This window comes from Homo sapiens, chromosome 13, assembly GCF_000001405.40.
Source record: "Homo sapiens chromosome 13, GRCh38.p14 Primary Assembly".
Lineage (NCBI taxonomy): Eukaryota > Metazoa > Chordata > Mammalia > Primates > Hominidae > Homo > Homo sapiens.
The window spans coordinates 74,313,030-74,331,142 of record NC_000013.11 but is presented as its reverse complement, the minus strand read 5'-3'; the positions used below and the strand labels follow the sequence as shown (position 1 = coordinate 74,331,142).

The 18,113-nt window shown below is 36.4% G+C and overlaps 1 long non-coding RNA gene across 5 annotated transcripts in view; it reads right to left on the bottom strand.

Moving 5' to 3' along the window:
• LOC105370259 (uncharacterized) overlaps positions 1–18,113 on the bottom strand; it is a 120,734-nt gene that overhangs the window by 77,661 nt on the left and 24,960 nt on the right. The gene's annotated exons all lie outside the window — the stretch shown is intronic.

The following is an 18,113-nucleotide window of genomic DNA, read 5'->3' as shown; positions in this document are numbered from 1 at the left end:
GTACCAGGAGCACTTGAATGGAAAACTGAATGTTCTCTCTTGTTTCAAGAGAGTTCATCACAAATGCTGAGCTGGGGACAGCCCCTAAAATAGCACTAGTCAATCTATTTCATTTATCTTGCAAGGCATTTGAAGATGGAATATTTTTATGTACTGAACCAATTTGATTTCTCTATATGATTTGCCATTCATATTTTTTCTTTTTCCATTCAAGACTGTGATTTTAATAGTGATGATACATAATGACAAACATGAAGAAAAGTGATTTGAAATATATGTCATTATTATTCTTGACAGAAACAATAGGCTGCTATGAAATTTTGGTATCAAAATTTACTCCATGATAATATTAGGAAGAAAATAAACTATCTTGACTATTTATTAAAATATCTGGAGTAGGTTTTGACAACAGTTAGTGATGATCATTTCCTAGACTAGATACTTCTACATTGCAAATTCCTTTTTGGGCATTTCAACTTCTGTTTAGCCTTTTATCCCCTGATAAAAGGGGATATCTGGATATTAATACTAACTAATATGCATGTGCTTCTTAAGTGCTTGATGGGATAAATTATTCGAGTTATGATGCTAATCGATGCTAATTTCATGAAGGGGCAGAAAAGAAGATACCCCTTTATAATAACATATGGAGGAAAATACTATTCAAATGAGCTGATCACCTGCCAACTTAAATTTTAATACCCAGTAAAAGAAAATAAGTAGGGTAAAGAGGAGGTTGTAAGCTCCCATTGCACTCTTCTCAGATTCTAGAGGGCCTGGATACTGACACTGAACAAACCCACATCTCAGCCTCTAGAGGAAGTAGAGAAATAGCTCTGTGGCTCAGAATCATTAAAAGAAACAGTAACACTTAAAGTGGACTGAGTGCTTACTACACGCCAATCACTGCCCTAAGCGTTTCATAGTAATTACCTCATTTTCACTTCATCACAAAACTATGAGATGGATATCATTTTATGTCCACATTGCTGGGGAGGAGTTGACAGCCTCGGGGCATTCACCCAGAGCCTTCACACTTAGCTTTCCTTCACACTGCCTCTCTGTTATTTTAAGCATCTCTCCACAAAATAATTTCTCTCCTTAAGACTTTGTCTTAGCACTTATTCTCCAACATATGTCATGGCCGATATGCCAATCTCCAGTGATCAAGTTTCCAAAAACTGCTCCTCTAACTAGTTAAAGTAAGATCATTCCTTTGCAGACAATCTTAATGCAATGGTAGCCTTCTGTGTTACCCTTCCAAATTGTCTTTCCAGGTGAAATTTTTTGTCTTCTGATAATATAGGTATTACTTACTATCAAACATGGGTCTTAGTCCTAGAACAAGAGTGTCCAATCTTTTGGCTTCCCTGGGCCACGTTGGATGAAGAAGAATTGTCCTGGGCCACACATAAAATACACTAACACTAACGATAGCTGATGAGCTAAAAAAAAAAATTAAAAATTGCAAAAAAATATTATAGTATTTTAAGAAAGCTTACGAATTTGTGTTGAGCTGCATTCAAAGCCATGCTGAGCTACACGCTGCCCACAGGCTGCGGGTATGACAAGCTTGTCCTAGAACTTTAGCTCCGTCTTCTCTTCCCTATCTGAAATGGAAGTCTAATGTCTGAATTTAACTTTGTTCCTTGTCAGGATGTAAGCAACCTCCCTGTTCCCCCATGCATAGCTCCCCTCATAGATACTTTTGGTATTACCTAATTCCTGGTGCTGCAGGGCCCAGGACCCAGCCAAGTTGGTTCTGATCCTCTGTTCACTCAGCTTCCATGCTCATAGACAGGAAAACCCCTCCCTGAGTCTGGCATGGTTTCTTTCTCCCCCAAGAAATAAATAAGCTTTCAGAAATCTGGCTCCAAATCCAATATGGATGACACCTTCAAATTTGGTATTCCTACAGCAGAAGTATTATTCTTGAATGAAAGTAAGGGTTTGTGTCCAACTGTAATACAATTAAAGTTATCTTTCAACACCCTCCAGCATTCCCCAAACAGATGACCTCGAATGAATCAAGCCAGCAGGGCCATCCTTAGATACCTACGAGCAGTGGGGAAATGTGAGTGCAAATCCCTCTGGTATTCCCCCTTTATCACTTTCTTCCTCTGTTACGTTCCCTCTCCAGAAAAGAAAAGTCCAAACACTGCCACATTTAGCACCTCACTCAGGTCTGACCTTTTTTGGGAGTTGTACTACAACAGACACTTATTTTCTCCTCTCCATTTCACTCAAAACAAACGAACAAAGCAATGACCCCTGCCTTTTACTCAATCAACCTGCCTCTGACAAACAAATCCACATTACAGGGGCAATTACTTATAACAGCTTCATGTTTTATCCTTCTTGATAACAGCTATATATTTAATGAGGACACTTGGAAAGTAAGTAACCTAAGCCAAAATAATATATTTTTAGTTTTGGCATTTCAGGAAATGTGATAAAAGATAAGTGAGAATCAGGACAATTTTTCTTAGGCCTCTAAATGATCCCAACTGGAAACACCCCTATGGTTTGGCCTTGGAGCTATGCATCCAAATTTCATAAAAAGATACACCTCACTAAGTGAAGAGAAATAATATTTCTTGAGCACTTACTCTATGCGTATGCACTATGAGTTTTGCACATGCAATTTCATTCAATTCCTAATGACAGTCCTGTGCTGTGCAATGGGTATTATTATCCCCATTTTACAGTGAAAGAAACTGGGGCTCACCAAGAGTACATAGATCCAATTTCTCTCCACTAAGTAGTAAAACAAGAATTGAATGTTAGGTGGGCCTCCCTCCTAACCATGGTCTTTATTCACATTATTCCTAAGGTCTGACTCCCATTTTTTGTAATCTTTTGGCAGCTGCCACTCTCTATAAATATCACCCCTTATCAAATTGTCTGTAATAATACTGGCTCCATTGAGGGGTACTTTCCATCTTTAGTACCCAAAGTGCCCAATGGCAAATGAGCAAAATAGAATTATTTAGGTCGTTGAGGATTCTCCTGATAGGTACTGAAAGGTTATACTAAATGAAAGTAAAGCTTATGTTTCAAGTACAAAGTGTTACTCAGGGAACAGTTCCAAAGGAAAAGGGAGTTTGCTTTCCTATGACCAGGGCATGGGGAGGGCAAGAGAGTAGCTGTGGTTCCATAAATGGCAAAAACTCACCAAAAAGATAAGAGTCTCTGAGGCAAGGGTATGGCCCCTGTGTTCTGATGGGCTGATCACAAGAAGCTGGGGCCTTGGGAAGGATGACAAAAAAAAAAAAAACTCCCAAGTGCTTGAGGAAGCAGCAACCATGTTGAATCCTAATGGCTACCGCTACCAGAGGAGCTGCAACTCTGCTGTGCCCAAAGGCAGTGCCACATCTCCACCTCAGGGGTCTATGTCTCATTTACTCTCCATTAGCCATGACACCTTTTTCCAAAATGTCACAGTGATTAGTGATATCCCTTGTTCCTTCCCCTCCATTGCCAGATAAGCCAGGCTCTGCAATCTCAGCTTTGAGAGCTCATGGAGGTGGTACTCCAAGGACAAACTCCTCTCTCATTTCCAGTACTGTCAACCTAGGTGCGAATGAGATTCAATGCTAGTGAACTGGAACATCATTACCTCTGTGCCATTGCAAAACTTTCATAACATCAGTCACTTCTGTCACCACATGTTAAAGCCTTTTATTAACATAAACACACACACACACATCTCTTTCTCTCACGATGCACGCGTAAATCATGGTGGCTGGATTGGAATGAACTTTACAATCAGTTGCATTGCGATACCAAGCCATCCGTCCTCTCCAGCTCTCCAGCTTTGTTGTTCAGTCTAGCTCACTTCATTTCATGCCTTCTTCACTTTATTCTTGGGGCTTCCTCCATTTCTTTTCTCCCTACACTTGCACTTCCTCCAGGTTCACCTCCATCTAGCAGCCAAGATTTCATATGTCCAAACATCACAGTTCAACAGTGGAGTGTGGTTGTTTCCAGATGGATCCTCAGGCTTCATGTAAATCAGTAGATATGTCAGGTATAGGGTAGGTAGGGAAGAGTCCTAAGGCAGAACTGTGCCCAACATGTTCATGGAGGAAAATAAGAGGGTCTTTGTGGCTCCAGAAGAGTGAAAGAAAAATAACAGGATTAAAGTGGGTTACCAAGAGAATGAGCAGGGACCAACTGAAGGAAGTATAACTAACTCATAAGAAGGTTTGATGCAAACTGAGAAAATGTTTCTGATGTTCCCTTTGCCCACTGGACAGCTTTACACTGTGCCATGGTGCTTTATATACTGGATTTGCTTTACCAGTTTTTACTACTTAGGGGGACTGAAGGGTATTAATTAGTGATGCTCACCAAATGTTTCTGCTTCTCCATCAGAATACATGGTACGATTGAGCTTGCTTTCTCCCCATGTAACTTCCTGTAGGAGTGATGTATGTCACCTCCAGGTGGAAGCTTTATGAACTAGAGCAAAATTCACTATGGTTTCTTTCCACCTGTGTGGGCAAACAAGAACCTTCAAGATGAGGTCTGCTCCATCAGCCTGCATCCTGGAGTAAGGGCACATGAATGAGGGTCTCTGGTCAACTCACGATGGGCAAGTCATATGAATAATAAATAAATCTTTGTGGCTGAAAGTCAGTAAGATTCCAGGATTGCTTGTTATCACAGCATAACTTATTCCAACCTGACTGACAGAAGAATGCATAGAGTTTATTTGTGTTTTTAATAATATGTAGACATGGAAGAAAATCTGAGGAGCCAATCTGCATTCGAGTTATCTTAGTAAATTACCTAAAATAAGATTAACACTATATTCATCCTACCAATTGTAATAAGCTACAAAATTACATTCAAATGTTATGTCCTAAAGCTATGTTATGTTTTATGTATGTTGTATTTCATTAACGAAATTGATTGTAACTTCCATACAACTGAAAGTTTTAGGCAAAAAAAGTAATATTCATCTCAAATTATATAGTTTCAAGTGAGAGCAGTAAAAACACCACAAAACAGGTATATTGCTAGCTCCTTTGTAAACCCCAGGATCACTTGAAGGCCTCTTCTGCCTAAAAAGACAAGTGGAGTTGCATGCCGTGTTTATAAGCAGTCACTGAATCAATCACATTGGGGTAATTTTGGATCTTTCAACTCTAAATTGGAACAGATTCAGAATACTACAATACAAAGTTTCCCTGAACCCAGCTAAAAAAATATGATAGCAACCATTTTTAGGTGATCTGTTAAGCGGATAGACACAGCCACAATCATTCACATTGAATAAGGGAAAAATTCTGTCTTTCATGTTACAAATGAATTCTTCCTTAATTATGTTAAAACAGACATACACACACACACACACACACACGCACACACACACATTCTTACAAACATTTAGATGGATTTTCCGTTCCCAGCAATTAGATTGTGGTGTTCATTTGTGTTGTGTCCTTTGATACTGCCTAGAGCTTTTTTTCATCATTCCTTGGCTGGTGTGAAAGCATGTCCTTTAACCATTTTTTTCATCAAGGGTAAAGACAAGCAGTATTGATGTTTAGTCATTACAATCCCTTTAGATTTTAAAAACAATTTCCATTTATAGTATGAAACTGGCAGATTCACACCGTAGGAGTCTGTTTCTTTTTACAGTCCCCATGGCCTTTGGCAGGGGACGGTGTCCACTTGCAAATGGTCTGCTTTGTGCTATCTCTCTGCTTAGTCTATAGAAATTTTCCACTAGAAGAACCGAAAGACCACAAAGAGCTCCTTTTCTCTCTGGGCAGGCAGCAATGTGGACAGCAGACAGAGTATGGAAGCTGAGTGTGTTTTGGCAGGGAGCCATGTTAGGAGATGGTTCTTGGCTACATCGAGAGCTGCTCTGTATTTATCTGTGATGGAGAAATGTGTAAATCATAGATTCAGCAGAAGTGCTTACACATAGTAGTCACCTTGTAAAAATGAGTGACTCTATAGCTTTTATTTGACATTGTTCTTATATAGACATATGACCAAACTCCAGTGAGAATGCCAACTTAAAACACAGCTGTGACACTCGTTTTTATGCCTTTGGAAAAATCATCTCATTGCTTATCTGACAACTCACTTGCAGGATGTTTGTTTTTTTCTTCTTCTTTCAAATTCCTCCTTCCTTTGCTTTCGTCTTTTACCTTTAACACTAGTTTAGTGGAAAGGAATAATCTTCATTTCTCTAATGCATGAGATTATGTTTCTAAATGTTTGAATAGTGTTTATTATTATAATTATTGTACTATTATCATAGAACAGATAGGAGCTTGAACTGTAGACCAAGATTGTCTGGGATACCTTATTCTCCCCTACTCTATGCTTGCTATAGATGTGCATTTTACCAAGTATCTTTCCTAATATTTTCATGTGTTCCTGTAAAGATAAAATTATTTAACAGATATAAAGATTTTAGGACAGAGTCTGGAACATAAGAACCTCTATTATGTGTTTTTCATTGTTAGTCTTAGAAAAAGTAGCACCTTATTGCAGAGCATCTACATCTAATACAATCCAGTGCAAGAAAAGATCATTATAGTGGTAAGTTTATACTGAGAATCCCCAAATTGTTCACCATAAAAGACTCAATTACAGACCCCACACTGAGAGAGCCACTACATCAACAGAGAAGTTAAACAGCACTTGGCCCATAAAAATCTTGCCTTATCTAACTAATAAACCCTGAACTTTAATGTCCAGATCAGCTTTCACCATAGTCCTCTGGCCATGGCACCTTGGACGTTTATTGAAAGAAAGGCTTCAGCTCTGCAGCCCCATCTTGTCATAATTCTTAGAGTATATTAAATTAACACCATGACCAACTCTAAGGACCTATACACCCTTGGCAATGCAACAATCCACAGAATAAAATCAGCAAAGAGTCCCCACCAAAGTAAATGTCATGCCTATGAGTGAATATTCTCCCCCAATTCTATACAATTCCTTCAGATACTATCTTGTAATGTAGTAGACTCTGAAACCAGACTGCCTGGGTTAGAATTCTGGCTCTAACACTTACTACTATGTGATGATGGACAAGTTAGCTACACGCTCTGCACCTTAGTTTTCGCCAATATAAAATGAAGATGACTACAGCACCTAACTTTTAAGGTTGTTGTAAATGCATATGAGTAAACATATGTAAAGCGCTTAAAACAATGCTTGGCACATAGTAAACATTCAACTATTGTTATTAATTTTGGCTATTATGATTAAATTAAGAAATTGACACTTTTTAGCAATAGAATATGTAATGGCAATTTCATATAGTTCAACATAATATTATATGACCATTCCATAGGTTGTCTGCAGGCACCTGGCCAAACTGGAGCTGATGAATCTCTTCCTGGGGATTTTTCAAGTTAGGACCAAAAGAATGGTAGTTGATCATGAAAGAGGTAAAATTCCAGTCATTAGCAACAATATTTCCCATTATGTAGAGCAGCAGTCCACAACCTTTTTGGCACCAGGGACCGGTTTTGTGGAAGGTGATTTTCCCACAGACAGTGTGGGGGTGGGGATGGTTTCAGGATGAAACTATTCCACCTCAGATCACAAGGCATTAGATTCTCATAAGGAGCATGAAACCTAGACTATGTGCAATTCACAATAGGGTCTGCTTGCACTCCTATGAGAATCTAATGCCTCCACTGATCTGACAGGAGGCGGAGCTCAGGTGGTGATACTTGCTGGACTGCTGCTCACCTCCTGCTGTGCGGCCCAATTCCTAACCCGCCAGAGACTAGTACCAGTCCACGGCCTGAGGGCTGGTGACCCCTGATGTAGAGACAGCCAGTGGGAAAACACTAAAAAGAAGGAGAGAGGGTGGGGGTAGAGAAAGAGAGACAAAGAAATTAACCTCACAAGCAGAGCAGAGCTGAGAGACAATATCTTGGTGACTTTTGAGACCTAATTCTTTTTTATTTTTTAGTAATTTATTCCTTTTCATTGCTGAGTAGGATTTCATTTTGTGGTTATAACATTATTTATTTATCCATATACTTATTGATAAACATTTGGATTAACTCCAGTTTGTAGATACCATGAATACATTTGCTATGATCATTTCTGTACATGTTTTTGTGTAGACATGTGATACTTAATTCTAACTAGTTGTCTGCAAGGGTCAACTGCAGTTTCACACCTGGGTTATTCTGAGATAACTCAGTAAACAAGTGCTTCCAAAAAAATAAGCTTTTTGTTTAAACTCTTTCAAAGAAGATTTCTCTTTCTTAGGACCAAGGATCTCCTACAAATACATTGCGTTTACAAGATTAAAATAATTGCATCTATCTTGAAGGTTTTTTGAGTGTGTTAAAGGAATAGATACATTTATGAAGATTGATTCAAAATATCTGACACAAGAGAAAACATAATAAAGCTGGCCTCCATTAATTCTATTACTGTAATCTAAGTAATCTGACGTACATGTTGTCAGAGACATAGGTTATATGGAGATCAGGTTATACCATATGAGATGTAATGTGATTCAAGATAGTTGGAATAACCCTTTCTGCTTGGCTATTATTCTGTCTGACTTCCAAGAAAGTACATTTTTAAGTTCTAGCTCTGTCAAAGCTTTTCAACTACAATATTTTTTACATAAATTGATTGGGTCTTAATTTATGAAACGAAATTCATCCAACTCTAAAACGTGCCCACTTTAAGACTTTGTTCCAACCCATCTAAACTTTCTTTTTTAGATTTCTGATTAGTTTTTTACTTCGGATCTCTCCTTTCATGTTTTACGTTGGGTAGCCAAGTTTTCTACCCCTAGAATCCTCAGGCAACTCCATCCTCACATGTATTTTGCCTTTCTCATTGTCCTGGCTTCTAACCACTAGCATTCTATTGGAATTAATAATGGCATTTAGCAAGGTCACTAGATACAAGGTCAATATTATGTTTCAAATCAATTTTATGTTTAATATGAGGTGGCTAATTTCATGTGTCAACTTGAGTAAGTCATAGGATGCCCAGATATCTGTTTCAACATTATTTCTGAATGTGTGCGGGGGGTGTTTTGGGATGAGATTAGCCTTTGAATCGGAGAACTCAGTAAAGTAGAATCCCCTCCCCAGTGTGAGTGCATCACCCAACCCATGGAGAGCCTGAAGAGGACAAAAGGCAGAGGACAGAGGAATCCTCCTCCTCTCCTTTTTTTCCCCCTGTCTCACTGCTTGAAGTGGGACATCTCCCCTCATCTTCCCCTGCGCATGGCCTGGGACTTACACCATTAGCTCTGCTGCTTCTCCAGCCTTCAGACTCAGACTGAGTTACACCCTTGGCTTTCACCAGCATGCATGATGTGGCAGATCATGACTTCTCAGCCTCCACAAGCACATAAGCCAATTCCTCATAACAGATTTCTCTCTCTCTCCCTCATGTGTGTGTGTATGAATAATAGAGAGGACAGAAACAATAGAATCTATATACACACATATACATGCATATATATACACCTATGTATATATTCATATACACACCTATATCTGGGTATATATGTGTGTGTATATCCATGTGTATATATATATGTGTATATATGTATACATGTGCATATGTGTGTATATGTATGTATACATATGTGTAGACATGTGTATATGTATGTATACGTGTGTGTTGTATGTATACATATGTGTACATGTATGTGTATATGTATATACCTTGTGTGAACACTTTACATATGCTTACTTATACGCATATACAGCAACCTTAAAAGTTAGGTGCTGTAGTCATCTTTATTTTATATAGGAAAAAACTAAGGCACAGAGAGTGTAGCTAACTTGCCCATATACATACCCACACATATATATTTAAATATACATATATAATATATATTCATATATATGAGTATGAATATATCTATTATATATGTGTACATTTATAATACATATGTTCTTATGTATACGAGTATGAATATATGTATTATAAGTTTACACATATATAATATATATTCATATGTATATTTGAGTATATATGTGTGACTGTATATATACGTATGTGTGGGCATATATCTATATCTATCTATCTATATCTATATCTATATCTATATCTATATATATAATTGGTTCTGTTTTCTGAAGAACCCTAACAGCAACATACCATCAACAAATATGAAGAAAATAAATTTAAGAAATGACACATTTACAATAGCAGTATAAAATACAAAACACCTAATAAATCTAATTTTAAAAATTAATACACTCTCTACACAAATACTACATAACATTTTTGAGAAGAAAAAAAGGACATCTAAACACATAGAGGGATATATCATGTTCATTATCTGGAAGATTCAATATCAATTTCTCCAAATTGCTCTAAAGAGCCAATGTAAACCTTCCTCCCCAAAAGTGCCAAATTATATTTTATAAAAATATACAAACTTTTTCTAAATGACAAAGAATAACTAAGACAACCTTAAAGAAGAACAAAGGTGGAAGACTTACAAGGTTTCTAGCAAAGCTATAGTAATTAAGCTTTGGTATAAGCATTGGTATAAGAATGCAAAACGTCCAGAAGAGAAAGTTCAGAAACAGAATGAAAGAGAAGTCACATACAAGGACACTTGACTTACAACAAAAGTGATACTTCAAAATAGTGGGAAAAGGGCAGGTTTTTCAATAATAATGCTGAGTCATCTGATAATTATATGGAGTCAAATGAATGCTGACTCCTTACTAGCAAACAACATAAACAAAAGTTAATTCCAGATACAGTGTTGATTTAAATGTGAATGGTGAAACAATAAGGTTTCAAGAAAGTAACGTAAGAGACTATCTTCAAGACTTTTCAACTGAAAATGATTTCCCAAAGAAAACATAAAAAGTATTAATCATAAATTAAAATTAATACATTCTGTTTATCAAAAGAAATCTTTAAGAGATTTAAGAGGTTAGATACACTGGGAGGGGATATCATCTGAAATGCTTATACAATAAGTATCACCTATGCCAAACATAGAATGACATCCTCAAGTGAAAAGTGGGTAAAAGTCTAAGCCATTTCATAAAAGAGCATAAACTAATTGCCAATTAATATAGAAAAACATGTTATTCTCATTTGTCATGAAGGATATGCAAAATAAAACAATACTATACATTCTAAATTATGCCAATTTAGAATAGCTAAAATTAAGAAGATGGACAAAACTAGTGATCGTGAAGATATGGAAGAACTGGAAATCTTGCGTACTACTGGTAAGATTGCAAATTGGAAAAAACCTTTAGGAAAACTGTGTAGCAATAGCAAATACTAGGAGGGAACTTTTAATGTGTTCATAATATTCTATTTCTTGATCTGTAGGGTGGTTGCTCATCAAGCTGTATCCTTGTGATTTGTGCAAGTATCAATATGTATGCCATTTTTAAATGAATACATATTTATTTAGTTTTTTTTTTTTACTACCCATGTTATTTTCACATGTTGATTAGGTATTTAATGGTAAATTGATGTAAGTCTAATTTTATTTCTTATTTTCAGTGACAACATCTCAACAATGAATATTTGATCTTACAAGAAAAGTGTTATGGCCAAATTACAAAAAAATGCATATGTTAACTTTTTATAGTAGATATGACTGCATTTTAACTTTAGCAATGCAATAATCCTCAGAAACTACATCTGCAAGGAGCCTCAAAGCAAGTGTTTTTTTTAAGTTGACAAAAATGTTCTTTGATCTGTAAGACTATATAAATCAGTCAACAAACATTTATTGGACCCTTTTTATATATAACATGGGGTACTATACAAAATTCAGAAAAGCACAAGACATGATCTCTCCTAGGGAATTTGAATTCAAAACTGGAAAAACAAACTGCACTCATGTACTCAAAAAAATATATATTATCAATCCAGTGTATTAAATGGACACTAAACTAATAGTACAGATTGCAAAGAAGAAGAAAGCATTGTACATGGGGTCTGGTCAAGGAACACTTTCTGAAGGAAGTAATTTAAGCAATATTATAAAGAATATATTTGGGAGACATTAAGCACCAAAGGCTAATGTTTAGGTATGACTGAAATGTTTAAAATGAAATTCTAATTGAATAAGTGAGTGTTGGATACAGATTGTGTAAGACTAAGGAGAATGGGAATCACTGAATGTTTTGAACCAAGAAATGATATGATTTCTTCATTTGATGAAAAGTGAATCACTCATTTCTCCCATAACACATAGCTTAATCTAATTCTGGTTTGTTCTTCCTATGCTTATGTTGCCCATTGCATAGTAACTAGTCTTTTTGAAGGAAAGCATCAGTTAACAGTCATATTTATTTCTTCTAGAACATCCAGATTAGAGCCTTACACACAACTACCACTCAATAGTTGTGTGCTAAATAAATGAATCAATCAATATCAATAAAGACAGCTAAAAAAGAGAAACTTATTGATGAACATACAATGAAATACAATAAATTTAGGCTTGAGGCAACAGAAAGAGGCTTACACATCAATGAATTCATATTCATAATTCAGAAAACCATATCTAGAATCATATGTTGTATTAGTTGTAATAAGTTAATTGTGAAATTATGAAACTAAAAAGAGATAACTGGAAATGAAAGATTTTTAAAAAGCAAAACAGGTTCCTAGTGACCATGGGGAAAAAAAAAGATCCTGAGTTGTCTGTGTGATCTAATAGAGAGCTTAAAGAAAATCAAGAGAATCAGAGATTGAAGAATTTCCAGTGCCTGAGATGGTAGTGGATATTAAATGCTTTATATATTTGGGACCAGCTCCTTTAGGGCTAAGGAAGTTGAAATTTACAGACGCTCACCATAATTATAATTACTTTTGTTGGAAATTAATAGATAAATCTAGTATTGCAATTAGTTTGGGAAGTCATGAGATGAAACATGCTCCGTACGAAGCAGCAAATTATATACATTCAACCAGTTAGCTGTATTCAGCTTCTAATCATTACCACTGAAAATATTCTAAGATACGCAATAAAAAAGGAAGCATTCATTTTTCTTATAGCTTTTAACTAACTTAATGATCTTTAAAGTGGCTTCTGGTGTATTTAAATTGAGTGGCATTACCATGTAGCTTTCACAAAACAGACCTGAGTAAATCCTGTCTCCTTGACCAGCGTCGAGTTGCATTGACTTTTAGCCTACCAATGTTGAAGAGGGCATTAACTACACTAATGCATATACAGCACTCAGTATAATATCTAGCTCATAGTAGGTATTCAGTAAATGTCCATTTTTTTCCATTTATACTAAATCAGGTAAAAAATAAGTTAACATATCACAGACCATGTAAAGATTTGTATTTTCTAAATAGATATTTTGCCTTCACATCACTCTGTGATCCTTCTAAGCAAATATTCTTGTGCATAATAAGATTATCTTTGATAATTAAATTATTATGATGAAAACTGTCTTCCATAACTTGACATACAGTCTTTCTCTCATCTTGAACTTTTTAGAATCGCACATATTCCAAATAGATGTACTCTTTTGGGGGAGTCAAACTCGTAATTCCACATCACCAATATCAAAGCAACTGAAGCAACTATCACAGAACCTTAGTCACTTTATAGAATTACATTAGGAAGGAGAAACTACAGCTTGGCATCATATTTAATGTTATATAGGATATAATAAAAAATTTCTGATGAAAGTCAAGTGTCTGTATTACCACACATGGATACACAGATAGAATAGTAAATCAAATATCAAATTAGTCTTGATATCATAAAATTGAGTATGGCAATTACCAAAAAGGGAACCATGGGATATATTTCTAGCAGGAAAACACACTCTCCAGCTTGGTGTTTTGGCTTTTATAGGATTCAATGTGCTACCCATAGTCAGTAATTACAAAGCCATAATTGTGCAGGTTTCTAAATGTCATAAGCCTAATTTGTATCTCATCTAATTAGCCATTATATTATAGACTACTTTTTCCATTGATGTTTTAGTATAAATAAATAAATAAATAAATAGTGATTAGGAAATGAGCTAACATACCGCCTGGTAAATTCTGAGATCGTTTATGTGCTGTGTTTTCTTCCAGGTCAAGCATTTTTAATGTAATTACTCATAATATGTTTAGCAAGAGCTCCACTTATTATGTTCAATAAACAAGCTGAGCCATAATCTATTAAAACATCAAACTTTAAATTATAGCTTATTCATAGTTATTAATGGAACAGTGTAAGCACTCCCCTTCCTGCTTGTGTTTATAATAGCCCATTCTAACACAACTGTCTAATGCAGCATGAGCTTTGTCTAAGCAGACTGTCAGTTATGTGGGAGGTTTCTTTTTTCCCTTCCTCTCTCTCCTTCCTTGACTGCTGTTGTTTGATAGATGCTGTGTGAGGGAGGATGTGTTGTTTGGTTGATGTGTGGTTAGTAAAGAAAGTACTGCCTTCTCAAATAAATGACAGAAATTCCTTCCTGACAAAAGAAGTGAACATTAGAAATGAACTCTCTGAATGTACTTGCGGTAGATAAACAGACCACAACCTTGTAAAAATACCTTGATTTCTCTATGATGAGAAGTGTCCATTAGTCACCAATGAGAGATAATCCCTAGGTAAGAACCAGTCTCAATTTTATGTGCTTCCCTGCTGCCACTGAAAGTCAAACCTCTGAAGATGTTCACTTTGCTCACTTTGCTCATGTATGTTGGGTCTGCAAGTGAAAAATAAAATACATGTATAGCTACTTATATGTGAAACACACAACTGAAATATTGTGTGGCACAGTTGGAGAGGCAGGCAAACCTTCCTAAGGAAAACTGTGGATTTGGTACTTAAAGAATCCTGGGCAGCATAGTGAGACCCCCGCCTCTACAAAATATTTAAAAAATTAGCCAGGAGTGGTGGTGTGTACCTGTAGTTCTGGCTACTTGGGAGGCTGAAGTGGGAGGATTCCTTGAGCTCAAGAGTTTGAGGCTGCAGTGAGCCACGATCATACCATTGCACTCCAGCCTAGGTGACACAGCAAGACAAAATCAAACAAAAAAAATAAGTCTGCCCCTAGAAAATATGAACACCAAGTCAAACTCAGAGCAAGTTTTTAATGACAGCTTTATTAAGACATAATTCACATGTCATACAATTTACCCATTTAAAGTATACAAGTCAGTGGGTTTTAGTATTTTTTTATTTCAATAGCTTTTGGGGTACAAGTGATTTTGGTTGGTACCTAGATGAATTGTATAGTGGTCTGAGATTTTCATGCACCTGTCACCTGAGAAGTGTACATTGTACCCAATATGTAGTTTTTTTATCACTCACCTCTCCTCCCAACAACCCCCCTTGTGAGTCTCCAATGTCCATTATACCCCTCCGTATGCCTTTGTTTACCCACAGTTTAGTTCCCACTAACAAGTGAGAACATATATTTGGTTTTCCATTCCTGAGTTACCTCACTTAGAATAATGGCCTCTAGCTCCATCCCAGTTGCTGCAAAAGGCATTATTTTGTTCTTTTTTATGGCTGGGTAGTATTCCATGTTGTGTACATACCACATTTTCTTTATCTGCTCATTGGTTGATAGGGACTTAGGTTAGTTCAACTTCTTTGCAATTTTGAATTGTGCCGTGATAAACTTATGCATGCAAGGTGTCTTTTTTTATATAATCACTTATTTTCCTTCGGTAGATACCCAGTAGTGGGATTGCTGGATCGAATGGTAGACTTCCTTTTAGTTCTTTGAGAAATCTCCATATGGTTTTCCATAGAGGTTGTACTAATTTACATTCCCATCAACAGAGTATAAGCATTCCCTTTTCCCCACATCCATACCAACATTTACTGTTTTTTGACTTTTTAATAATGGCCATTCTCCACAGCCAGCAGTATACTAAATGGACAAAAGCTGGAAGCATTTCCCTTGAAAACTGGCACAAGAAAAGATGCCGTCTCTCACTTCTATTCAACATAGTATTGGAAGCCCTGGACCGATCAATCAAGCAAGAGAAAGAAATAAAGGCATCCAAATAGGAAGAGAGGGAGTCAAAGTATCCCTGTTTGCAGATGACATGATTCTACATCTAAAAACCTTCATAGTCTCATCCCAAGAGCCCCTTAAAGTGATAAACGACTTCAGCAAAGTTTCAGGATACAAAATCAATGTACAAAAATTATTAGCATTCCTACACACCAACAACAGCCAAGCCAGGAGCCAAATCAGGAACGCAATTCCATTCACAATTGCCACAGAAAAGAATAAAATACCTAGGAATACAGCTAAGCAGGGAGGTGAAAGATCTCTACAATGATAATTACAAAACTCTGCTCAATGAAATCAGAGATGACACAAACAAATGGAAAAACACTCCATGCACATGAATAGGAAGAATCAATATCAATAAAATGGCCAGACTGTTTTTCCCAGAAGTTTTGCCTGCCTCTCCAACTGTACCACACAATATTTCAGTTGTGCCTTTCAGATATGGATTGCTATACATGTATCAATATCATTAAAATGGCCTAAAGCAATTTATAGATTAAATGCTATTCCTATCAAACTACCAATGACATTCTTCACAAAACCAGAAGAAACTATCTTAAAATTCACATGGAACCAAAAAAGAGCCCAAATAGCTAAGGCAATCCTAAGCAGAAAGAACAAAGCAGGCAGCATCACACTACCCGACTTCAAACTGTACTACAAGGCTATAGTAACCAAAACAGCATGATATTGGCACAAAAACAGACACATAGACTAATGGAACAGAACTGAGAGCCCAGAAATAAGACTGCACACCTACAACCATCTGATCTCTGACAAAGCTCACAAAAACAAGCAATAGGGAAAGGACTCCCTATTCAATAAGTGGTGCTGGGACAACTGGCTAGCCATATGCAGAAGATTAAAACTGGACCCCTTCTTTATACCATATGCAAAAATCAACTCTAGATAGATTAAAAATTTAAACGTAAAACCTAAAATTATAAAAACCCTGGAAGAGAATCTAAACAATACCATTCTGGACATGGGAACTGGCAAAGATTTCATGAAGAAGATACCAAAAGCAACTGGAACAAAACCAAAAATTGACAAATGGGATCTAATTAAACTAAAGAGCTTCTGTACAGCAAAATAAACTCTCAATAGAGTACACAGACAATCTACACAATGGGAGAAAATATTTGCAAACTATGTATCTGACAAAGGTCTAATATCCACATCTATAAAATAATTTACAAGAAGAAAACAACCCCATTAAAAAGTGGGCAAAGGACATAAACAGACACCTTTCAAAAGAAAACACATATGCAGCCAACAAGCATATAACAAAAAGCTCAATATCACTGATCATTTGAGAAATTCAAATCAAAATCACAATGAGATACCATTTCACACCAGTCAGAATGGCTATTACTAAAAAGTCAAAAAATAACAAATGCCAATGAGGTTGCAGAGTAAAGGGAACACTTATGCACTGTTGGCAGGAGTGTAAATTGGTTCAGCCATTGTGGAAAGCAGTGTGGTGATTTTCAAAGAGCTAAAAATAGAAATACCTTTCGACATTACTGGGTATACGCAAAGGAAGATAAATTATTCTATCGTAAAGACACATGCACATGTATGTTCACTGCAGCACTGTTCACAAGAGCAAAAACATGAAATCAACTTAAATACCCATAAACAATAGACCAGATAAAGAAAACGTGGCCATATACACCATGGAATACTATGCAGCCATTAAAAAGAATTAGATCATGTCTTTTGCAGGAACATGGATGAAGCTGGGGGTCATTATTCTTAGCAAACTAATACAGAAACAGAAAACTGAATACCCTATGTTCTCACTTATAAGTGGGAGCTAAATGATGAGAACACATAGACACAAAGAGGGGAACAACAGACACTGTGGGCCTACCTGAGTGTGGAGGGTAGGAGGAGGGAGAGGAGCAGAAAAAATAACTATTGGGTACTAGACTTAGTAGCGGGGTAACAAAATAATCTGTACAACAAACCCCTAGACACAAGTTTATCTATATAACAAACCTTCACACGTAGCCCTGAACCTAAAATAAAAGTTTTAAAAAATAAAAAATAAATAGTAGTCATTCTAGCTGGGGTGAGGTAGTATCTCATTGTTTTAACTTGCATTTCCCT